The sequence below is a fragment of the Homo sapiens genome, chromosome 1 (assembly GCF_000001405.40).
Source record: "Homo sapiens chromosome 1, GRCh38.p14 Primary Assembly".
Taxonomy (NCBI): domain Eukaryota; kingdom Metazoa; phylum Chordata; class Mammalia; order Primates; family Hominidae; genus Homo; species Homo sapiens.
Window position 1 is genome coordinate 42831579 of NC_000001.11, and position 23764 is coordinate 42855342.

The 23764-nt window shown below is 44.7% G+C and overlaps 2 protein-coding genes and 2 long non-coding RNA genes across 18 annotated transcripts in view, besides 2 other annotated features; 2 read left to right on the forward strand and 2 right to left on the reverse strand.

Annotated features, from left to right (window-relative positions):
* The window catches only part of ERMAP (erythroblast membrane associated protein (Scianna blood group)), a 27870-nt gene extending 14457 nt beyond the window's left edge, over positions 1-13413 (forward strand). For 7 of the 9 annotated variants that reach the window (XM_047443591.1, XM_006710313.5, NM_001017922.2 and 4 more), the window contains 8 exons: positions 3460-3576; positions 4154-4186; positions 5580-5612; positions 7323-7343; positions 8455-8475; positions 8574-8600; positions 8692-8718; positions 10939-13413. In XM_047443591.1, coding sequence (XP_047299547.1) covers positions 3460-3576; positions 4154-4186; positions 5580-5612; positions 7323-7343; positions 8455-8475; positions 8574-8600; positions 8692-8718; positions 10939-11654 — 995 coding nt within the window. In that variant the 3' untranslated portion in view covers positions 11655-13413. Of the gene's footprint in view, positions 1-3459; positions 3577-4153; positions 4187-5579; positions 5613-7322; positions 7344-8454; positions 8476-8573; positions 8601-8691; positions 8725-10938 lie in introns of those variants that run through there. The other 2 variants (XM_047443588.1, XM_047443600.1) reach the window with 2 other exon arrangements.
* Positions 322-6081, reverse strand: LOC124904163 (uncharacterized). Its single transcript, XR_007066035.1, has 2 exons — positions 4262-6081; positions 322-3553 (listed from the first exon to the last, which is right to left on the reverse strand). It is a non-coding gene; the product is annotated as an uncharacterized LOC124904163 (long non-coding RNA).
* ZNF691-DT (ZNF691 divergent transcript) lies at positions 10317-14836 on the reverse strand. The gene is made up of 5 exons (NR_186083.1): positions 14679-14836; positions 12933-13106; positions 11826-11872; positions 11197-11338; positions 10317-10435 (listed from the first exon to the last, which is right to left on the reverse strand). It is a non-coding gene; the product is annotated as a ZNF691 divergent transcript (long non-coding RNA).
* Positions 14572-14841: an enhancer, noted in NCBI's record as "active region_897". NCBI's record gives its function as "activates an Ori minimal core promoter by ATAC-STARR-seq in GM12878 lymphoblastoid cells {active_cell/tissue: GM12878}" and the evidence as "EXISTENCE:reporter gene assay evidence [ECO:0000049][PMID:35858748]".
* Positions 15002-15071: an enhancer, noted in NCBI's record as "active region_898". NCBI's record gives its function as "activates an Ori minimal core promoter by ATAC-STARR-seq in GM12878 lymphoblastoid cells {active_cell/tissue: GM12878}" and the evidence as "EXISTENCE:reporter gene assay evidence [ECO:0000049][PMID:35858748]".
* On the forward strand, positions 15035-20899 carry ZNF691 (zinc finger protein 691). 7 transcript variants are annotated; one of them, XM_047421910.1, is made up of 4 exons: positions 15035-15079; positions 17713-17835; positions 17987-19165; positions 19372-20899. In XM_047421910.1, exons 3-4 carry the CDS (start codon positions 19109-19111, stop codon positions 20233-20235), a joined length of 921 nt encoding a protein of 306 aa, XP_047277866.1. In that variant the 5' UTR covers positions 15035-15079; positions 17713-17835; positions 17987-19108; the 3' UTR covers positions 20236-20899. The 7 variants fall into 7 exon arrangements, with proteins under 7 accessions (XP_047277866.1, NP_001229668.1, XP_016856891.1 ...); NM_001242739.2 differs by having other exon boundaries at positions 17987-18164; XM_017001402.3 differs by having other exon boundaries at positions 17713-19165.
* Positions 20900-23764: the final 2865 nt, after the last annotated feature.

A 23764-nucleotide genomic window follows, 5' to 3' on the forward strand; every position in this document is an offset into this window, starting at 1 on the left:
TTTTTTTTTTTTTTTTTTGTTTTGAGATAGGGCCTTGCTCTGTTGCCCAGGCTGGAGTGCAGTAGTGCAATCATAGCTCACTGTAGCCTTGACCACCTGGGCTCAAGTAATCCTGCCACCTCAGCCTCCCAAGTAGCTGGGACTACACATACACTACCATGTCTGGTTAATTTTTTTTTTTACTTTTAGTAGAGACAGGGTCTCCCTATGTTTCCTAGACTGGTTTCCAATCCAGCAATCCTCCCCGCTTGGCCTCCCAAAGTATTGGCATTACAGGTGTGAGCCACTGCACCCAGTTGAGAGTGTTCTCAAACTAGCTTCAATATTTAAAAAAAACAGTTTACTGAAAATCAGTCCACAAAAATCAGTCTACTAATATTTTAAAAAATCAGTCTACCAAACCAAACCCAACTCAACCCAACCCAAACCATGTCTTTGCATTTGCTTGAATGACACTGGCTTCACATGGTCACATGCTGATTATCTTTTGGTCATAATTTGAAGTCACACACCATGAAGTGGGGATGAATCAATTACTTTAAAACACTCAGTAGTTGGTAGACAGACTTTCCAAATTGGAGTCCTTTGGGGTGAAAATTAATTTTTTTTTTTTTTTTTTTTTTTTTTTTTGAGATGGAGTGTTGCTCTTGTTGCCCAGGCTGGAGTGCATTGGTGCAATCTTGGCTCACTGCAACTTCGCCTCCTGGGTTCAGGTGATTCTCCTGCCTCAGCCTCCTGAGTTAGCTGGGATTACTGGTGCCCGCCACCATGGCCAACTAATTTTTTTTTCTTTTTTCTTTTTTTTGGAGATGGAGTTTCACTCTTGTTGCCCAGGCTGGAGTGCAATGATGCTATCTGGGCTCACCACAACCTCCGCCTCCCAGGTTCAAGTGATTCTCCTGCCTCAGCCTCCCGAGTAGCTGGATTACAGGCATGTGCCACCACGCCCGGCTAATTTTTGTATTTTTAGTAGAGACGGGGTTTCTTCATGTTGGTCAGGCTGATCTCAATCTCCCGACCTCAGGTGATCCTCCCACCTCAGCCTCCCAAAGTGCTGGAATTACAGGCATGAGCCACCATGCCCAGCTGAAAAGTAATTTTTAAAAGGGGACCGAGGTGCCCACAGGAATCTGAATCATGTGATACAGTTATTGCTATGGGTGAATTTTTAAATGTCTGAGAATAAAGCTAGAGACTGGCTTATCCCATTAGGAGGAGCGTGGGGAGAGAGTGGAGAGAGGACAAGTTCCATTAACAGCTGCCCCTGTTCATCACAGGAGGCTATGGGGGAAGAGGGCCATGGCCAGGACCATACCCTGGCAGAGGCCCTGCTGGTGTGCAGATAGGTGGGATGGTTCCCAGAGCCCTGGGCCAAGTGGAGAGAACCTCAAGGCAGGGTACTTCCATCCCTGTCAGAGGCCCACTCTCTGGAAAAAGCTGGGCTCTTCCAAATAGCAGTGTCTAGCAGAGTCAGGGACAGCACACTGGGGAATGTGTCCTGAACCATCCACAACATGGCCCTTGGCCAAGAGAAGACCACAGCTGTGGTCATAACAAGTAAAAGCTGGGGTGGAAACAGGTTTGAAGGCGCTGGTGGTTCCTGAGGAAATTCCTACCCTAGCAGGAACTTTTTGAGGAATTTTCAATTTTTTTAAATTCTAAGAATAAAGCATATATATTGTAGAAAATTTGAAAAAAATCCAAAATATTTAAAGGAAACTGAAAAATGGCCTATAATAGCTTAAATTAGAGAGAACTGCTGCTAACATTTTTGTATCTTTCTTGCAAGACTTTTTTGTATATATGTATCTCTGAGCATGTATGTTTACACATGTGTATTCTTGTGCCCAGGATATTTTTCCACTTATGATATCATGAGCATTTGTTTTCTTTGCCCATGTCCCTAAGTAATATGATTTTAAGGGCTGCATAGTATTTTGCCATGTGGCTATAGAATAATAAAATTAATCAAAGCCCTGTTTCTGGGCATCTGGATGCTTTCCAAATTTTCCTCATATTATAATGAAGGGTGCAATGAACATCTTTGAACGTATTTTGGAAAGTGATTTTGATTTTTTTTTTAATAATGTACTTCTGGCAGTAGAATTAATGGGTCCAAGGGTTCAAACCTTTTACTTATTTTTTCTTTTTTATTTATAATAAAGATGAGCTCTCACCATGCTGCCCAGGCTGGTCTGAAACTCCTGAGCTGTAGTGATACTCCTGCTTCAGCCTCCCAAAGTGCTAGGATTACAGGTGTGAGTCACCACACCTGGCCTGAACCTTTTAATGATCCTTGAAACGAACTGGAGACCAGCCTGGCCAACATGGCAAAACCTTGTCTCTACCAAAAAAATACAAAAACTAGCCAGGCATGGTGGCATGTGCCTGTAATCCCGGCTACTTAGGAGACTGAATGCTTTATATGACTGACCTCTTTAAATCTCTCCAAACCTCAAAGAGATAAGGAGTCCTGTCATGCACACATTTTACAGATGAGGGACAATGGGCTGGGAGGTGCTCAGTCTCCTGCTTTGGGTCACACAGCATTGAGCAAGGACATACTCCCAGCTTAGGCTCTTAACTACTTCTACCCATAGCCCGCTTCTGCTCGTTTCCTCTCCTCTATTTCCTCTTTCTTTTCCCCTTTCTCTCCTGCCTAGGCTTCAGGCCTACTGCTGCGGCATCATAGAAATTGCTTTGCCCCCGTGGACAGTGCTCAGGGCAAAGAGGTTGCTGCCTGCTCTTCTAGAGCAGAGTGAGGATTGACAGGGGTAAACAGGCAGGTGCTCCTGGGAAGACTGGAGGTGTGTAGTGAGGAGAGTGCCTTCAGTCCTCTGAAGTCCCGGGCTTATTTTTCCATTGAATTATAGGGCAGGATGAGATTGTGGTCAAGAAGTTTGTTTAAGTCATCATCTTGAGGCAGGACCATCCAAACCATTCCCGAGAGAGGAACATCTCAGTTTTTGTTTGTTTGTTTGTTTGTTTGTTTTTGAGATGGAGTTTCACTCTTGTCACCCAGGCTGGAGTACAATGGTGTGACCTTGGCTCACTGCAACCTCTGCCTCCCGGGTTCAAGGGATTCTCCTGCCTCAGCCTCCTGAAGAGCTGGGATTACAGGTGCCCGCCACCACACCTGGCTAATTTTTGTATTTTTAGTAGACACGGAGTTTCCCCACATTGGCCAGCTGGTCTTGAACTCCTGATCTCAGATGATCCTCCTGCCTCTGCCTCCCAAAGTGCTGGTATTACAGGCGTGAGCCACCGTTCCCAGCCTCAGTTATCTTTAATGCTATCCAGGGCTTGAGTTATCAGAGAAGCAAAGAGCCTCTTGGCCGGAGCTCTCTCCCTAGAGGTGATGGAGAGTGTTGGGATGTGCTGGAGCCGCCTGCCATCTGAGGCATGCCAGAAGCTCTTAGACATCTCCCTGAGGTCAGTCGTTGGTGGTTTCTGTTTCAGCCCCATCTGTGGGGAGTCTCTCCCCCTCAGCAGTGGCTCTGGCTGTGATCCTGCCTGTCCTGGTACTTCTCATCATGGTGTGCCTTTGCCTTATCTGGAAGCAAAGAAGAGCAAAAGGTAATTAAATGGTAAGGGAGCTCAGGCTGGTGGGAAGTGGGACTATGACTGCTCTGGGAAAGGGCCAGACGGAAGTAGATGTAGACCTGACACTTCTCCATAGGTTGGGGACACTGCAAGTTGGCTGGGAGAAAACTGGTAGAGCCATGCCCTGGGGACACACATTGCAAAGGGAGTTCAATAAACTGCAGAAAGGCCCCTGGGCAGAGCTGTAAATTCTCATCCTTTGAAAAATAAGAAAATAACCGACTATGCCAGCCTTCTAATTAACTAAGAAATGAATTACAGCCCTTTAATAAAGAAATCCAATTATATCCATTGGATAAGACTCTCATAAAAAATGGTCACATTTCACAGGATCTCAGGGCTGCAAGGGACTTTGAAAGTCACAGTCATGTAATCCAACACTCCTGCCCTTATCTGATGGTTTGAAGACTCTCTAATCCTTTCAAATGCCCGCTTACCTGTAGTGACAAGGAGTCAGTCCTACTCAGGCAGCTGGGGGCATCTTGGGACACTTGTGCCTGTTAGAAAAAGCCCTTCCTAAGCTGAGCTGGCATTTCTCTCTCCCTTTTAGAAAAGCTTCTCTATGAACATGTGACGGAGGTGGGTAAGTGTTCTTGGCTGGGGGGCAGGGGAGATGTTTCTTTTGTTGTTAATTTCTGTGCCCCCCATACCCACTAACCTGGATTCTGTTCCTGAAAATTCCATTATCTGCTATCCTTGGTGATGGTGGCAATGTCTAAATCCGTTGCTTCCAGTTTTTACTGCCTCTTACTTGTAATAGCTTTGCCTTCCTGTATGTTTAATGATTTTTGCCTGTGAGCTCATTGCTTGATCTTATTCTATGGGAGTCGAGTAGCTTGAACATGGGGGAAGCTTTTATTTGTTCAACAAATACTTGATAATTATCTACAAAATGCCCTGGACAATACTAGATTCTGGGGATGCAATAGTGAGTAAAAGCAGACACAGTTTTTGCCCTCCTGGAACTTTCAGTGTAGTCAGGGAAATGAGATGAATTAAATAGTTAACACAAATAAATGTGTACAAAAGCTACACAAGAAAGCTCCTGGTTCTGTGAAGGCTATGACCAGAATGAACCAACCAAGCTTGAGGGTTGAGGGTATGAAGTTTGTCCTGAAGGACTAGAAGTCATGAGTGAAGAGGGAATGGAAAACCAGCCACCGCAGAAAGAACAGCTTCAGAGAGAAGCATGGTCGGGGAAAGCAGCACTCACTGGGGAGTTGAGGAGGTGCAGGAGTGAGGGGAAAAGTGGCAGGGGTGAGGCTGGGGAGTGAGGCGGAGCTGAGCCTCCTGAGGCCTGGTGGGTCACATTCAGGATTTTAGTCATTCTCGTAAGAGCAGTGGTAAAGCAAGGAATGGGGATATCAGATGTAATTGTGCTTTGAAAAACTTGGCCGGGCATGGTGGCTCACGCCTGTAATCCTAGCACTTTGGGAGGCTGAAGAGGGTGGATCACCTGAGGTCGGGAGTTCAAGCCCAGCCTGATTAACATGGCGAAACCCTGTCTCTACTAAAAATACAAAAATTAGTGGAGCATGGTGGTGCGTGCCTGTAATCCCAGCTACTCAGGAGACAGACAGGAGAATTGCTTGAACCCCGGAGACAGAGGTTGCAGTGAGTCAAGATCGTGCCACTGCAATCCAGCCAGGGTGGCAGATTTTTAAAAAAAATCTGCAGTGAGTCAAGATCATGCCACTGCAATCCAGCCAGGGTGGCAGATTTAAAAAAAAAAAAAAAACTAAACAATTCTCTCAGGCTGCAGAGTTTAGTAGAGACCAGAGGGATTAAGACAGGATGTGGGAGACAATTTGGGCTGCCATTTCTGTTGTCCAGGTGAGAGTTGATTAGAGACCGGATCAGGGAGGTGGAGGTGAAGATAGAGGTGGACAGGTCCAAGGGCAGGTAAAATCAATAGGAATCAGGGATCCTCAAGGCAGTGGCAAAAAATCTCATTATCTTTTCCTTTCTTCCTCTAGACAATCTTCTTTCAGACCATGCTAAAGAAAAAGGTAATGATATAAAAGAGTAAGGGGTAGGGAACAAAAAACACATTCTTTATTTTTCTATGTAAATGTTGACAGTCATTATTATAAGTCTATTTTTATAATACTGTACACACATGCACACATATATCCTCCATTGATATTACTGGAATTTAGTGTGCAATGTTAAGGGGCTGTGGAGCTTGTGGCAGTGGGTAAGGAGGTGCCCAGGTCAAAATTCACAGGCCTAGATTACCATAAACTCCCTTCATTAGCCTTTCCGCCAACCATTTTAAAAAGAAGTCTACATATTATTGAAAAGTATATTAATGTGGTCATATGGGATATATGGGAATTTCAAGAATCCACACAACCTTTGCATAGAGAGAGGTGGTATGATACAAAGGAAGGGTCGCAGGCTCTGGGGTCAGTGACACCTCAGATCATTGGTCTGCCACTTAGGTTTTGGTTTCCTCATCAGCAAAATGCAGATAACTTCCCCTTACCTGATTGTTTTCAGTGTTAAAACAGGCAACCTTAAAAAAAAATCTGTCACAGTGCCTGGAACTCCTTTTCCTTATTGCCATTTTGTCTTCATTAATTTGACATTTACTGTGGGCCACTGAGTTGGACACCTTGTTGAAGTCTATCTGGGAAGACAAGTCACTGGCTCAGATGACTCCAGATTCAATGATGTCAGCGTCTCCTCTCTTCCCTCCTTACATTTCCTCCAAGCTGGTGCAAGCGTGGCGTGTATCTGGCAGACACTGGCTGTTCTGCTCAAGTGAAGAGGGAACAGTGTGGGGTAAGGGAGAGGGCCTCTAACTCAGGAGTCAGACAGACTTAGATTGAATCCTGCCTCCTTGGTCACTTACTAGCTGGAAGACCTTGGGCAAATTTTGTGTCCCTTTGAGCCTCAGACCACCCCCCTATAAAATGGCAATAATAATTCTAGGCATCTCACATTATTGAGAGGATTCAGTGCCTACTTCAGTATAAGCACAGCAGACAGTAAATGGAAGCTGTTAGTAGTGGAGATGGTAACAATAAACCATAAGCTCCTTAGGAGCCGTGTCGTATTCGGCTGCATTGCTCCAATGCCTAATGCCTAACACATGCCCGGCCCTTAGCACAGGGACTGGTGGTGGACTCAGGATGTGTAACTTCAATTGTCTAGCAGGGCCAATGCTGGGTAGGGGGAAATGTGGGCCACATGGCCCTCCAGAGAAGCTGCAAGTACTCCCCAGAAACACATGTCTCATACACATGTCCCCAAATCTTCTGGGACCTCCAATTTGTGAAATTTATAACCTCAGGGGAGTTACTGTAGAGAATAATACAGCCATATTAACAAGTTCATGCTAGGCCTTTAGCTAGTTTTACACCTTAGATACCATAAACGGTGGGCTATAAAAGGACAGCAGTGCATACACTCATGTACCGCAGTTACAAACATATAGAAACACTCATGCCGACAGCAGAAATGAAACCAGACAGATGAAAAGGAGGGGAAGGGGAAGGAGGAACCAAAGTCCCGGGCAGGCTGGGTCACTGGGACAGTGTCACCAGCACCATCAGATTTCTGGGTCTGAACTCTGGGACACGGAGCTGGACTAGGGACATAGAAGCGTCACCATCATTTTAATCTTGTGGGTTGGAGTGATGAGGCTGCCACAGCTCTGAGGAAAAAGAGGCAGGATCTGATCACTCACTCTTCTCTCTCTTTCTGGTTTTTAGGAAAACTCCATAAAGCTGTCAGTAAGTTTTGCTCCTCATCCATGGCACAAGCTCCTTCTGCTGACACTTTTGCTTTGGGATGAGCATCTCAGTTTCACTTCCTGGGGCAGAAGGGAGGGGGTACTGGTAATTCAAGCCATGGGGACTGGGGCTTTCTTGGCTCTCAAAGGCCTCTTTTCTCAAGTATTCTCTGCTCCTCTTTCCTGCACAACTATTATTTAGTCTTTAAATGAAAAACGTTTCACCAGGAAGAGATAGATGCATCTCCCATAGGTGAAGCCATCTGGAAGTCCCTTTTATCACCCAGGCATGACATTTCCTTAGATGGGGTCCAGGAGGACAGGATCCTTATTAAACTGAATATGCTGGAGCAGTACTTCTCCATCATTTCATGTGTGAGGACCTCTTTTTAACATTAAAAAAAAATCTGGCCAGGTGCAGTGGCTCATGCCTATAATCCCAGCACTTTGGGAGGCCAAGGCAGGTGGATCACTTGAGGACAGGAGTTTGTGACCAGCCTGACAACATGGTGAAACCCCGTCTCTATTAAAAATACAAAATTAGCTGGGTGTGGTGGTGCACGCCTGTAATCCCAGTTACTTGGGAGGCTGGGGCAGGAGAATCGCTTGAACCTGGGAGGCGGAGGTTGCAGTGAGCCGAGATTGCACTATTGTACTCCAGCCTGGGCAAAAAGAGCGAAACTCCATCTCAAAATAAAAATAAAAATAAATCTGTAGACATGTGACATATCTATGCATTAATTATTACATTGAGAAAATATACATGATCACAAAGTCCAATACTCAGTGATAGTTTTAAATGAAGTAATATTTCCTACAACATCTACATAATTTATGTTGTCATTACCTGTAGGTGTGAGATGTGTTATTTATTTAGCCTGCAGATAAGGTTTGGCTCACATAGGAATTTGCTGATCCTCTGCAGTATCTCTGGGGATACTCCCATGGTCCACAGCTGGGATCTACTGCTCTTGCAAACTCTTCTGGGGAAGTTCCAGGGTATAGCTATTGAGTATCTGTCTGCTCATGGTTGGGATGGGACTGTAGCATTATGGGAGGGCCTCTACATAGAGGCCCTCCTTCTGATTTGCCAAATTGTTTTCATTCTTTAGAGAAACTCCGGAGTGAACTGAGTAAGTTTCCCATGTTCTTGTAACTTCCGTACCAACTTATCTCCTGTTGCCCTAATATTTGCAGTGATAGCTCATTCCCCTTGTTTCTTCTTTCATAGAGTTGAAAAGAGCTGCAGCAAACTCAGGTGAGATGCACTTTCTCCACATTTGACCACCACCCTACAGGAGTTCTTGATGTCTCTGGTACTTTAATGATCCCCTTTTCTCATTTTTCAGGCTGGAGAAGAGCCCGGTTGCATTTTGGTAAGTTATACCAATCAAATAGGTCCATATCTCAGAGCACTTCCTCCTTATGGCTTTGTAACCTTAGATTTTGTTCCATTCCTCTGGAATGCAGGTAATTTAAAAATTTTTAAATCAAATCTGTATATCTGACTATCAAATTAAAAAAATCTTTGTGATCGATCTTGAGGTCATATTTAGATTTAGAAAGTATCCCCTCTTTTAGAGCACTGATAATATTAGGTTTGGTCTTCTTAAGGGTTTTCTGTGGTTTTTGAGATTTTTCCTATGTTTATCAGTTATTTGTATTTCTTCTTTGTGTGACTTGTCTGTTCCTGTTCTATTTGGGCTTTTTTTTGATTTGTGAAGACTCTTTCTAGATAAAGTATATTAGCTCTTTGTCATATTTGTCACCATTACTTTTCATTTGTACTTCCTTATAGTATTTTTCTGATGCATAAGTGTTTTATTTTTACGTAGTCAAATTCATTCATCTTTTTCTGTGTAGTCTCTTCCATGCTTTCAGGTTTGGGAAGTCCTTCCTATCCCACAACCAGATAAATAGCCACTGCTTCCGCCTCTTTCTACACATTTGCTTTTTCTTCTTTCTCTGCAGACCAATTTGCTTAGGGGTGGTGATTGAGATTCTCAGAGAAGAAGGGAATGGGTTGAGCAGATGCCCCAACAATATACATTATGAAAAGATTTGCACCTCTCTTTCAATGTATTCCTAAATAGTTTGCATTTTTTGCTGCTGTTCAAATGGGACCTGTTTTTTTCACTGCTTTGGGATCCTTATCAATTTTCTAGGCTTTTATCCTCCTCCTGTTCACACCATCTTCCTTCAGGCAGAGTACAACAAATTATGAGTTGGCCACTCGAGAGAACTCCAGGTCACCTTGGCTGGCATTCTGGGAACTTACAAACCCTTCTGTCTCACATTTACAGTCTGGCTTATTGCCACCATCTCAACTGTGTATGGTTTATAGACTTAACTCTCTAAGAAGAAGCTGTTTCCTGTATTTGGGGAAGGAAGGAGACTCACTGTGACACTCATAATCCACAATTTTAGGGAAGAATCCTTCTCTCTATATTAACATTTAAAAATAATAATTTCGTCCTACGTACTTGGGAGGCTGCAGTGGGAGGTTCACCTGAGGCCAGGAATTCAAGGCTGTAGTGTGTTATGACTGCATGCCCATGAATACCTACTGCATTCCATCCTGGGAAACATAGTGAGACCCTTCCTCAAATAAAATAAAATAAAGCAGATAATTATAAGTAATAATTTTAGGTGACAGAATGAATATCATGCACTCACTGTAGGAATGAGGCACTATATCATTAGTTCATCAAGTCTGCACAATAGCTCTACAACACAGGTTCTGTTACTATTTCCATTTTACAGATGAGGAAACTAAGGTTCAGAGATGAGTAACAAGCCCAAGGTCACATAACTAGCATGTGGCAGAGCTGGGATTCAAACATGCTATGTGGCTACAGGATCTAACAACAAACCCTGTATTTATCATCACACATTTGATTATTTTGGAACATCAAAGACAAATGTGGTGTCTTACTCTGTTTTCTGTTGCTATAACAGAATACCCGAGACTGGGTAATTTATCAAGGAAAAAGGTTTATTTAGCTCATGGTTCTTGGGGCTGGATGGTCCAAGATTGGGCGACTGTATCTGGTGAAGGGCTTGTGCTACTTCATAGTATGGTGATAGTTGCTTCTGGAAGAACAGAAGGGCAAGTGAGTGCCTCCAAAAGCAGAGAGGAGACAAAGTGCCCTGACCTGCTTTATCATAACCTGCTCTCCAGAGAAATAAACCCAGTGTTGTGAAAACTGCATTCATCTCTTTGTGAAGGACCCAAACACTTCCCACTAAGCCCTACCTCTGAACACTGCAGCAATGAGGGATTAAGGTTCCAACACGTGAACTTTTGAGGGACACACTTAAATCATAACAGGTAGTTATTTCCTGAGGATTAAAGCAGTTTCACAGACAGATGAAGAAGAACTTTTTCTTCTATTACTTAGTAATCGACCAGGAGACCTATTCTTTGAAAGAGAATATTCTTTGGTTCCAGTACACATGGTGGGGGCGGGAATCCATGAACTAAAATGGGCTAATGACAGTGATGGCAGACCTAAGATTCTTTTTCCCTCCAAAGCCATCCCCAAATCCCTTAAGACCTATACTTCCAAGCCTCACCTGTCTGTGTCTCTTTGCAGTGGCAGTGACCCTGGACCCAGACACAGCACATCCCAAACTCATCCTTTCTGAGGACCAAAGATGTGTAAGGCTTGGAGACAGACGGCAGCCTGTACCTGACAACCCCCAGAGATTTGATTTCGTTGTCAGCATCCTAGGCTCTGAGTACTTCACGACTGGCTGCCACTACTGGGAGGTGTATGTGGGAGACAAGACCAAATGGATTCTTGGAGTATGTAGTGAGTCAGTGAGCAGGAAGGGGAAGGTTACTGCCTCACCTGCCAATGGACACTGGCTTCTGCGACAGAGTCGTGGGAATGAGTATGAAGCTCTCACATCCCCGCAGACCTCCTTCCGCCTTAAAGAGCCTCCACGGTGTGTGGGGATTTTCCTGGACTATGAAGCAGGAGTCATCTCTTTCTACAATGTGACCAACAAGTCCCACATCTTTACTTTCACCCACAATTTCTCTGGCCCCCTTCGCCCTTTCTTTGAACCTTGCCTTCATGATGGAGGAAAAAACACAGCACCTCTAGTCATTTGTTCAGAACTACACAAATCAGAGGAATCAATTGTCCCCAGGCCAGAAGGGAAAGGCCATGCTAATGGAGATGTGTCCCTCAAGGTGAACTCTTCTTTACTACCCCCGAAGGCCCCAGAGCTGAAGGATATAATCCTGTCCTTGCCCCCTGACCTTGGCCCAGCCCTTCAGGAGCTCAAGGCTCCTTCTTTTTAGGGATATGCCACATTACCTGCTCCCATCACCATCCAGCCCAGCACCCTGGACTTCAGTCGCCTGGCCCAACCCCATGATTATGGAACGTCTCTTCACCTTAACCCAAATCCAGACCCTTTTGTGGTTTCTATTTGTACCACTTTTCTCCCAGGCCTCAGTTCTGAAGCTTACCTTTCTTCTAAGGAATTGAAGCTCCCAGTGACCTGGAGGGAGGATTCCTGGAAACCAAACAATCAGTTTAGGTGCAGGTGGAGATGTTGAATATGTGTTACCAAGATACAGCACAGGTTCAGGGAAAAGAGTTCGCTACTCCAGGGGTTATTTAGAAGACACTTTCTCTGCCTCATCCTGCCCTCAAGCTTTAGTCAAGAAGTTATGGCCCCCAGTCCCTGACTTCTTACTTATCCCATTGAGGACTGCCTTTCTCTCTCTCAGTTCTGGCCTCTGCCCCCCAAAGTCAGCTCTCTAAAAGCAAGCATGTTTTAGACCACTCACTCTTTCCCTCTTTCTTCAGGAATGAATTGGGAAAGGCTGATGAGTAAAACATACCATCCTTTTCTATTTTCTTGATGCTGTTTACAACATAGTTTGGTGATATCCAGAGCTAATGTACATGCTTTCAAAAGCTAATCTGCCTGTTGATGGTAACTAGGTACAGCGACTTTAAATACAGTTGCTATAATCCTGAAAAGCCCCAGGAGCACATCAGGGAGCTGGGAAACACAGTTGCAGAGAACTCAGCTGTATGTTGCCCTCTGACCTTGGCCCAGACCTTCAGAGGCTCAGTCTGTTGAGTCTGTTGTGACTGTCTTATGAATCAATCTGTTGTGCCAACCCTTTCTGAGATTCAGAGAGGTCCAGCTAGAAAAAGTGGCAGTTTTAACCACCAACGTAGAAGCTTTTTTTTCCCCACAAGACCATTGTACTGCAATACTTGAGTATTTGTGTAGCAAACAGCCTCTTAGGTTGGAGAGTATTGATTTCAAATAGGAAGTTGGTAGACTAGGTGTGAGGATGAAATAATGACCTTGATTTTTGGGTGTGTATTGCAGAAGCCTCGTCGCTTTCAAGTCACATCATATATGCGATCTGGCCTAACCATGGAGATATTGGTTATCAGTTTGCAGATGAATACACAGTTCTATCCAACAGAAACTGTATCTTTCTGTTTGTCAGAAGTTCTCCGTTAGTTCCTGTATTAGTCAAGGTTTTCCAGAGAAACAGAATCAATATATATTGGGGCAGGGGGGCGGTGGTTATTATAAGGAATTGGCTCACGTGATTATGGAGGCGGTTAAATCCCAAGATCTGCAGGATAAGTCAGCAAGATGGAGTCCCATGAGAGCTGATGGTTTAGTTCCAGTCTGATGGCAGCAGGCTTGACGCCAAGGAAGAGATGATGTTTAATTCAAGTCCGAAGGCAAGGAAAAAGCTGATGGTCCTGTCCAAAGGCTATTAGGCAGGAAGAATTCTCTTAGGGCAGAGTTAGCTCTTTTGTTCTATTCAGGCCTTCAACTGATTCAGCAAGGCCCGCCCACATTTGGGAGGACAGTCTGCATTACTCAGTCTACTGATTTGAATGTTAATGTCATTGAGAAACACCCTCACAGGAACACTCAGAATAATGTTTGACCAAATAGCTGGGCATCTTGTGACCCAGTTAAGTGGATACATAAGATTAACTATCACAGTGACTCAGTGGAATTTTTTGTTTGCTTTTGTACAGTTTTAAAATAAAAGTTTGGTATTTGTGTTTTGGTATGCTGTTATTTTCATTGTGAATGAGGAGTTGTGGGGAAGGTAAGAGATTGGTTTCCAAAGAGCTTTGAGTCCCCCAAGGCAAGGTTTAGCCACCGTTCATACTAAAGCCATAGTTTTATTCCTGAGTCTGCTCTCTAGTATTTTATTTTATCAATTTATAAACAAATAGTGTTCATAAGGCACACATATTTCACTCAACCATATTCAGTTCCAAACATGCATTCCTGAATATCCCAATCTTAAAACTAACTCACATTGTCAGCTTGTGGAGGCAGAATACATGCATACATATACACATACATACATGAATATACATATAATATACACACACATATGCATACATACACATATACACATGTATACATGTATGTGTATATACATATCTGTACTACATAGGTGTATATATATGTATATGTATTTAGCATGTATGCACGTGTATATGTATACACATATATACATATGTATGTATAATACATATTCACACATGTATGCATGTATATACACATGTATACATTAGTATATGTATATACACATGTATGTGTATTATACATGTATATATGTACATACATATCAGTCTACTGATTTGAATATTAATGTCATCAAGAAATAACCTCAATATATGTATGTATTATAACCTTACAACTATATAAAACATACATACATATATATGTATATATGTATACACATACACATGCATGAGAATATATGTATGTATATATAATATCCTCACAGTAATTCTGCCAGGGATTTTATGGGGGAGGGAGTTGGTACTCCAAATGGCTAGGTGGTAGAGCCAGAGTTTTATACTTGGTTTATCTAGCTCTGAAGGCAATGCTCCTTGTTCTTTGCACTGAAACATTGTGCAGATACGAGAAGCCTGTAGTTTACGTATTTCATTAGCCTTTTATTATTTTAAAAAATAAAACCTGAAAAAAAAGACCTAGTCCTGGATACTTTGGTGATCTTGTTGTGTCTGGATTGACGAACACGTGTCAGGCTTAATTAGGGATGCACGCGGAACCCGGGAAAATCCCTGCTCAGGGGGGCTGGAAGACCTGGAGGTTGATCCTTGAACAGGGTACTTTTAGCTTCTCCGATAAGGAGATTGGGTTATTTTATCTTTAAACTCCCTTCCAGCTCTACCCTCCTTTGATTTTAAGTTATAAACCTTGAGTGAGGTGCCAGACTCTAGGCTTCGTTGGACGTCTACAGGACGGTCAAGGATTACCAACTCAAAGTAAAGAAGGAAATTTGAGTACTTGCCCCCTTGGAGGTTGTGTAGGTTGGCTATACAGATTCTACAACTTCCCAGACGAGTGGCCCTGAGACTTGGGGCTGAACGCGCGAGCACGGAAAGAAATCCCACCGTAGGACGGAACCCAGTCTCTTCAGCTCCATCCTAAACTTCGCAAGTTTTCTCTGAGTCTACGCGCTTCCTTAGGACTACAACTCCCAGCATGCCACGCCAGCGGTCAAAGCTTATTGGTGGTCCTGCCAGGTCGCTTGCGTTGTGGCAGTCATGGTAGCCAATGGAAATAAAGAATTATCCCAAGAAACCAATCCTGGAGTAGTAGGGCGGATCCTTCCTGGGTTCCGGCTCCGGCTCCAGCTCCTTCCCTCGCCTACAGAGGCGGCGCTGTCCCTGATCGAGCGGCGGGAGCGAGGTGGGTCCGGGTTGGGCCCGAGGTCGCGGGGGGAGGCGGACACGACTTCGCGGGAAACTCTGTACACGGCCACTTCCCTCTCACCGAGGATCTGGATGCTGCTGCTTTGCTCCCTGGACCGAGTGGGAAGCCAAGGGGCCTTGTGGTCCCTCCGCCGCGACCCTCGCCCTGGCCCCCGGCCCACGCAGCCAGGTGGCTGTCCCCAACCCATTCCCCGGCCCTTCTGTTGGGTTTGAGTATACAGCCTTCCTGCCGCTGACCATACGTTTAGGATCAGCCCCTCCTCCTCTCCCACCTCTCTGGCCCCAAGCCCGCCGGCAATCTCTGAAACCAGCTCTTGTACCCTTGGACCTCCGCCATTGGCTTCTCCCCGCCCCGCAACACACAACTCAGCTCTTGGGCCCTGGCCTGTGACACTTCTGGCAGCCTTTGCTTCCTCTTCCCTGACCGTCTCCTGCGACCCTCTGACTTCCTTGGTCCTCCTGTATCTCTGACCCGTTATCTAGCTTCCCTGTACAATTACCCTGTTAGCACCTTGCTCTTGGTCTTTCATAGCTCCTCTCTCCTCTTCCTCCCTGCAGCCCTTGACTTGGCCCCAAAGACCTGTAACTTCGGACCTCCATACCGCACTATGGCTTGGCCCCTTGCCTTTAACCTAGGCGCTTCACCTTCATCATCTGTGATCACTAGCCCCATCTTCTTGGCTCTTAACTTCTTAGACCTGGCCCCTCCTCCACTTCTCAGCCCCTTCCACCGTTGCTTCTCTCTGTGCAGCTGAGCCACCAGGAAGACAAAGCCCAATAGACCCCTTTTCCCCCCAGATCTCTGCAGTGTGATATGAAAGTGCCTCTGTACTTCAGCTGCACTGTCTTCTCAGTAGGTAGTTGCCTCTTTATCTCTGCAAGTCCCAGTCTTACCCATCCTGCAAACCTTAGGTCAAATACCTACTCCTCCTTGAAACTTCTCAGCCCTGATTTCATCAGGGAGATACATCTGTATCATGTGAACTTCAGTGGTACTGTTTTTATTTCCTTCCTTCCCGTCTTCTCTCCTTTTTTCCTTCAGTAATAGTATAATGGTTAAAAGCACTGACTTTGAAGTGATGGGCATAGGCCCCAGTTCTGCCACTTACTTGCTGTGTGCCCTTGGGCAAGATACTTAATTTCTCTGAGCCTCAGCTTTCTCATCTCTAAAATAAGGATGATGTGAAGTGAAATTAGATGATTCATATATGGTCCTTAGTCCACAGCTTAGCACTTGATTCGAGCTTTAAAAAAATGTTAATAATGTGCCAGGTGCTGTGTTAGACACTGAGGAGTGGGTACAAAGGTGACTAAGGCACAGTTCCTGCCCCTGTCCCCTGAACTTAACCTTCTGCATTGTATGACAATTTCTGGAGTTCACGGTCTGTTTCAGTACACTGTATCACAAACTGAGTGGTAATCATAATCCTAAATCCTTTTGCTCTTACATTGACCTAGCATCCAGCCCCGGGTAGAGCTGGAACTTGGTAAATTATAGGTTCTCAGAATAGCAGTTTCGGAAGTGAGTGGAGGCTGAATAGCTCATTGCGTAGAGATACTGTAGCTGTAGGTCAGATGGGAGCAGGGCAGGGGGTGGGGGATGGGATGGTGGCGTGAATTAAGATCACATCCTGTCACTTATACATTCAAAAGACATTTGAGCACCCAGCTTTATGCTGCAGAAGGAGATTACTAATATGACCCAGTCCCTTTCCTCAAGTTGCTTATAAACTACTAATAGAAACAGACATGTTCTACTAGTAGTTGCAAACCACTATAAGCCAAGCACAAGATTCTGTGACTGCATAAAGGAGAAAGTAGGCAGGAATCAGGAGATTGCTGAGGAAAAGTGGGTGAGACAGTTCATGGTTACTTGTGTCCCATGAAGACAGAGCTGGTGTTTTATTCAACTCATTCAACAAATACTTATGAAGGATCTACTGTATATGGCTGCCACTACTCTAGGAGTTTTGGTTACATTGGTAAATTAAAAAAAAAACAAAAAAACAACAAAGACACCAGCTCTCATGGAACTTATGTTTTAGGGAAGCAGACAATAAATAATAGACATAAAGAGAATGTCAGAAGGTAAGATGTGCTATGGGGCAGGAGGACTGGGAGTGTGGGAGTGATTTTAATTTTTTAAAGGATGGTCAGGAAACAGTGTCTAAGTATCAAGGAATAGTTTCTCATGTTTACTTGCATTTTTGGAAGTAAAGCAAACCAATTATTTTTCATATTCTTATCTAAATTCTTCAAGGAACACTAACAGGGATTGGCAAACCACAGCTCACCTCCTGTTGCTTTAAATAAAGTTTTATTAGAGCACAGCCACACATTCCTTTATGTCTTGTCTATGGCTGCTTTCATGATTCATGATACAGTGGCAGAATTGAATAGTTACAGCAGATATCCCATGGCCATAAATATTTACTAAATATTATCTGGCCCTTTACAGAAAAAGCTTGTCAACCTCTGGTTCTTAAAGAGTTGAGGTTCTGTCTGTATTTCACATTTTAGAAGGTTATATACAGTTTTATGCTATTTTTAAGTTAAAAGTTTTTTCTTAATGAGATCATTTAAAAGATCTTTTTCTTGTATTCTTCACAGGGCCTGGACGTAGTGTCTTCAACAGTTGTAACAGCAGCTGCCATTTGCTGAATGACAGCATGTGTCACACACTCTGCTGAGTATTACAGGCATTTTTTTCTAATACAAAGTCTTGTAGTGTGGGTAGGTATCACAATTTTAGTGAAGAGGGAGTTTAGGCTCAGAGTGGTTGAATAATTTGCAGAGAGCGATAAAGATAGTATGTGTCACAGTTGTAATCCAACCCTAAATGTAGTCAGTACCCCTTTCTTTATTCTGTGTTTCTTTTTTCCAGAAATACTTGCAGACTTGAAGGAATTATCAGTCTTTCATTTTCTATCATCAGTGTCCTATGATAGTTTGTGCTTCCCTCCCTCATCCCTTTGTTCATGTCACTCTGTTCACCAACCCACTCTGCTGAAATGTCGTTATTTCTTCAAGGCCCGGAGGAAATGCTACCACTCTCATCAGAGGTACTTTTCCCCCCAACTCTTTCCCTGTCCTTGGCTGTAGGAACCCAAAGGAGTCTGTGCAGCTTAGCACACATTAGTGATGTTTGCACAAATCAGGACCTGTACTGGGCACTCTTATGTGTTTAGTTTTGGGGTGGGGTGTGGGGAGTGTGGTTTGTGTGTCTGTGTCTGTGTTTATCTTTGTGTGTACTTGGTATGTGAGTGTGTGTCTGTGTGTGGTGTATGGGTATATGTGTATAGACATGTATGTAGCTATATATGTGTGTGGCTGTGGTATGTGGCTATATGTGGTATGAGTGTGTATGTAGTATGTATGTGTGTGGTGTGATAATGTATGGCTGTGTGTGGTGTGTAGGTGTATAGCTGTTGTGTGTGGTATGAGAATGTGACCGAGTATGTCAGGTATGTGAGTATGACCGTGTTACGTGAGAATATGGCTTTGTGTATGGTGTGACTGTGTCTGTGTGATTCTGCTTGCTTGTGTGCATGCATGCGTGTGTGGGCGGGGGGTGTGGGTGGGGCTTTGTATGGTGTTTGAGAATGTAGTGGAGGGCACTGACTGATCAGAAGAAACACAGCCCAGGCCCCACAGTAGGTCCTGGAGGTCCCAGGTATTAACCCAGATGTTTACTTGCTAGATTCTGGTGTGGGCTGGAGAGGGGTAGAGTGGCAGAAATCTCAAGAAAAGCCAAAGCTGGGCCTTGTCACCTAGGAAAGCCTCAAGATTTAGAGGTTTTGTTTTGTTCATTTTGAAAGCAGGCATATAGGTAGATACTTGTAAGGAAGGTTTTTCAAAAAGGATTAAACATAAAAAGAGTTACAGTTAACTTACAGTTAGGCAGAAAAATTGAACTTATCCCAAAATGAAAGCTCTTTTACTTGCCCATGAATTATAGTCTGGATTGTCATTGCTTAGTGGTTTCAAGAAGAGTGACATTATTCAAATGGCACAAATATCATCTGGTGGTGGTGGACAAAGCCGGTGCCTTCTTTTTGCTCTGGTGGGTAGCTTTAAATATCTCTGAAAGTTTGTCACTTAAAAGGTAGCAAGTAAAGGTATTCTATCCAAGTATTCCAGTTGATTGAGGTTATTTCTAATGGATGGTCCCATGGGGAAGGTGTATACCCTTCAAACTGAACAAAAGATTCCCTGTGATCTGGCCCAACCCAAAGAATAAAGGTGTTGGCCATTTGTGTTCATTCTCAGGGTTCAGAGATGGGCAGTGAGAAGGAGCAGAGTCCAGAACCACACCTGCCTGAGGAAGGGGAAGGGGGTAAGCCTTGGAGAGTGGATGACTCAGAGGGTTCTTGGATCCCACCTGGGGAGAAGGAGCATGGGCAAGAGAGCCTGTCGGATGAACTGCAAGAAACTCATCCAAAAAAGCCATGGCAGAAAGTCACTGTCCGGGCTCGAGAGCTAGGGGACCCCATTGCTCATCCAAGGCATGAGGCAGATGAGAAGCCCTTTATATGTGCCCAGTGTGGCAAAACCTTCAATAATACCTCCAACCTGAGAACACACCAGCGGATCCACACTGGTGAGAAGCCTTACAAGTGTTCTGAATGTGGCAAGAGCTTCTCGAGAAGCTCCAACCGCATCCGGCACGAGCGGATCCACCTGGAAGAGAAACACTACAAATGCCCCAAGTGCCAGGAGAGCTTTCGGCGGCGCTCAGACCTCACCACGCACCAGCAAGATCACCTAGGCAAGCGGCCATACCGCTGTGACATCTGTGGCAAGAGCTTCAGCCAGAGTGCCACGCTAGCTGTGCATCACCGGACCCACCTGGAGCCAGCACCCTACATCTGCTGTGAGTGTGGGAAGAGCTTCAGCAACAGCTCCAGCTTTGGCGTGCATCACCGCACCCACACAGGTGAGAGACCTTATGAGTGCACTGAGTGTGGGCGGACCTTCAGCGATATCTCCAACTTTGGAGCACACCAGCGGACCCACAGAGGGGAGAAGCCCTACCGGTGCACTGTGTGTGGGAAACACTTCTCCCGGAGCTCGAATCTCATCCGCCACCAGAAAACTCACTTGGGCGAACAGGCTGGGAAAGATTCCAGCTGAAGGAGAGCCCCATTTAGAGTGAGGGAGAGAGAGTGAGAGACCCTAACCTATTGGAGGAAGATCTTCAGCATCTTTTGCTGCTACCTTGACCTCAAGCCCTTCATCCCACTTTGGAGAATGGTTTTGTATAGCCTCTGAAGTCAGGATCTCAGGAAGTCCTGAGGAGGGACTCTGGAATAAAAACCCTTGCCTCTTTCCAGGCCAATTTCTCGTGTTGGAAAGTCAGAAGACCCAGTCTTGGCTTTACTTTCTTGGGGTGAAAGAGAAATAGGGTAGGCTCAGAACATGCTCATGTTATTAAGGCAGCAGTCCCCCTGGCCTTTGAGGAAGTACTTATGAGATGGGTGTCACTGTCTGAAGGTTCTCCAAATTGTCTGTGAACTGCTTAGGTAGGAGTGCACTGCAGTTTCCTGCTAGTTCCCACCTGTTGTGCCCCAACTTTGCTTCTAGATCTCTGGGGTGGGAGGAGTGACCTTCTCAATGGAAGGGGCCTCCTTGGTCTGGAGAAGAGATCTGAGGTCCCACCTTAGAAATGAAAGGGAAACCCTCAGGGAGCCATGACCCAGGGACCTTCACACTCCCCCATGTTTGTTACTTGTTATCCCTCCCCCAACCTGCCTCTGTTTTCCCCAGAGTGATTAGCAGTAAAACCCTTCAATGAAAAGGACCCGTGTACTTATTTGGGGAAGTGGGGAGCTGGGGAGATTGTCCCACTGAACCCACTCTGGAAGGGATTTGAATTCTAAGAAAGACAGATGGGTAGATGCTCTGAAAAGCAAAGGAAAGCAGACTGAGTTTCTGGGGCCTTTGAGGAGAAGGGGGAAAGGAAAGGAACTAACATTAATTGAGCATCCACTACATGCGATTAATTCTGTCAGTCACATTTACATTCATTATCTCATGTAGTTCTCACAGCAACTCTCAAAGGAATAAGAAGAGGACATGAAAGTGAGGGAAGATAAAGTCACTTGCTGTGAAGTCATACAGCAAGTACGTTGTGGAGCAGAGTTCAAACTTGGGCCTCCCTGACTGCCAGCTGTTGCTCTTTTCACTACATTTACCTTTTGGCTTCTGAAGGAGGAGCCACTTAGGAGACTTGCCTGGAGTTAGGAGCCAGTGTGGCCTCTTCATATGGCCTTGGGCCATTTGCTCTATGGCAAGTCAGTGCCAAGCATGAGAACGTTTTCAACTTTATTTTATTTTGAGGTCAACTTTATTTTATTTTGAGACAGGATCTTGCTCTGTCGCCCAGGCTGGAGTGCAGTGGTGTGATCACAGCTCACTGCAGCCTTGATCTCCTGGGCTCAAGTAATCCTCCCACCTCAGTGTATGGAGTAGCTGGGACTGCAGGTGCACACCACCACACCTGGCCTCAATGTTATTGATTGAGCACTTACTCTGTGCCAAGGAAAAACGGCAGTGACGGGGAGTACAGGGTGAAGGGTGGGATAAGGTGAGAGAAATCTTAAAACCCATAATGAGAGTCTTTGCTTTTAGTAGCAATAGTTTAGTCCTCAAGGCTGGAACAGCTTAGCAGGGATTATGTCTGGTTTCCTGTCCTCCTGGTTTAGGCCTGGCTCCACATGGCAGATTTCAGTGTTTTCTACATGGAAGTTTAGTGTTCACCCAGTTTTCCTCTAACAAATACAAAAGAACCCTTCCTCTAACAAATACAAAAGACCCCTATCTACCTCTCTTGTGAATCTGGGGCCCTACTCTTCCAGAGTGAGGGGCCCTCTTCATTTGTAGCCAGTTGGCAGAGTGTGATTCTGGCACCGGGCTTGGAACTGACATCACCCATAACCTTACCTAACATGGGGACCCTGCCGTTCACCAGTAAGAGATGTGCCAGGAACTTTACACTCATTATTGAATTCTCACAGCAACTAAGAGTGACTTGCATTTGCCGTATGTAGAAATAGGCTGATAAAGAAAGGGACTTGCCCAAGGTTACAGAGCAAGTAAATGCGGGGTGTAGGACCTGAACTACTGCCCAAATTCAAGTCCTGTATTTTATCCAACTATAAAAGACTTCCCAAATGATTCATTTATATTTATAGGGTACTTTACTGTTTACCAAGCACTTTTATTTCATACACATTTTCTGATTCCTTGAAAATCTCCACACAATATATTTTAAACATAGTCACCCAAACTTGTGTGTGTGAGTTGGCACACACCCTAATAATAAAAATCACCATCTTTTAAATACCTACTAAGTGCCAATTATTGTACAACTCTTATCTCTAGTCTTCATACTATCCTGTAAGGTAGTAATGTCCCCATGTTCAAGGCAAGAAAATTCTGTGAGATTAAATAACCAGACCTATTGGCAGAGTGGAGACTTAATTCAGGTATGTCTGATCCCAAGGTCAAGCTCTTCATTATACCCACTATCAAGCTAGGTCTACAGATCCCCTCTCAGTCTGGGAAGCTTAGTCTGACTCCTTCCTGACTTGGAGACTTTGTGACAACCACTGTGATTTTTTTTTTTTTTTTTTTTTTTTTTTGAGACAGAGTTTCATTCTTGTTGCCCAGGATAGAATGCAACGGCGGGATCTCGGCTCACTGCAACCTCCACCTCCCAGGTTCAAACGATTCTCCTGCCTCAGCCTCCCGAGTAGCTGGGATTACAGGCATGTGCCACCATGCTCGGCTAATTTTGTATTTTTAGTAGAGACGGGGTTTCTCTATGTTGGACAGGCTGGTCTCAAACTCCCGACCTCAGGTGATCCACCCGTCTCGGCCTTCCAAAGTGCTGGGATTACAGGCGTGAGCCACTGTGCTGAGCCCCACTGTGACTTTTATAATTATGAGTGTCTGCTGCCAGTTGGGCCTACGACCAATGTACCAGGCTCCTGCTTTGATCTTGGAACAAAGCTCCCCAGCCAATCTCACTTGTCTCTCTCTCTTTTTTTTTTTTTTTTTTTTGTGAGATGGAGTCTCTGTTGCCCAGGCTGGAGTGCAGTGGCGCGATCTTGGCTCACGGCAACCTCTGCCTCCCGGGTTCAAGCAGTTCTCCTACCTCAGCCTCCCGAGTAGCTGGGATTACAGGCATGTGCCACAACGCCCGGCTAATTTTTGTATTTTTACTAGAGATGGGGTTTTGCCATGTTGGCCAGGCTGGTCCTGACCTCAGGTGATCCGCTTGCCTCAGCCTCCCAAAGTGCTGGGATTACAGATGTGAGCCACTGTGCCCGGCTCACTTGCCCTTTTTTGACCCTAACTTATATGCTAACATTTTTTGTTTTAGTCAGTGCTTTTGAGTCCTGACTAGTCCTTTTATTCACTGTCTAACTTCCTTTTAAACTTTATTTTATCCTTCATTCCCCTTATTTTTTCCCTTTCTCCCTCATTCCATCTACTCTTTCTTCTCTTCCTCTCCCTCTTTTCCTCCTTCCCTCTTAGTAACTTGTAATACTGACATTGAAGACAATGTGGCCCCTGATTTCTAGTGTAGGAGATTGCCACACAAATCCAGAGTTGCAATGCAGGATGGTAGGTATCATTACAGTTGTACCCAGGATGC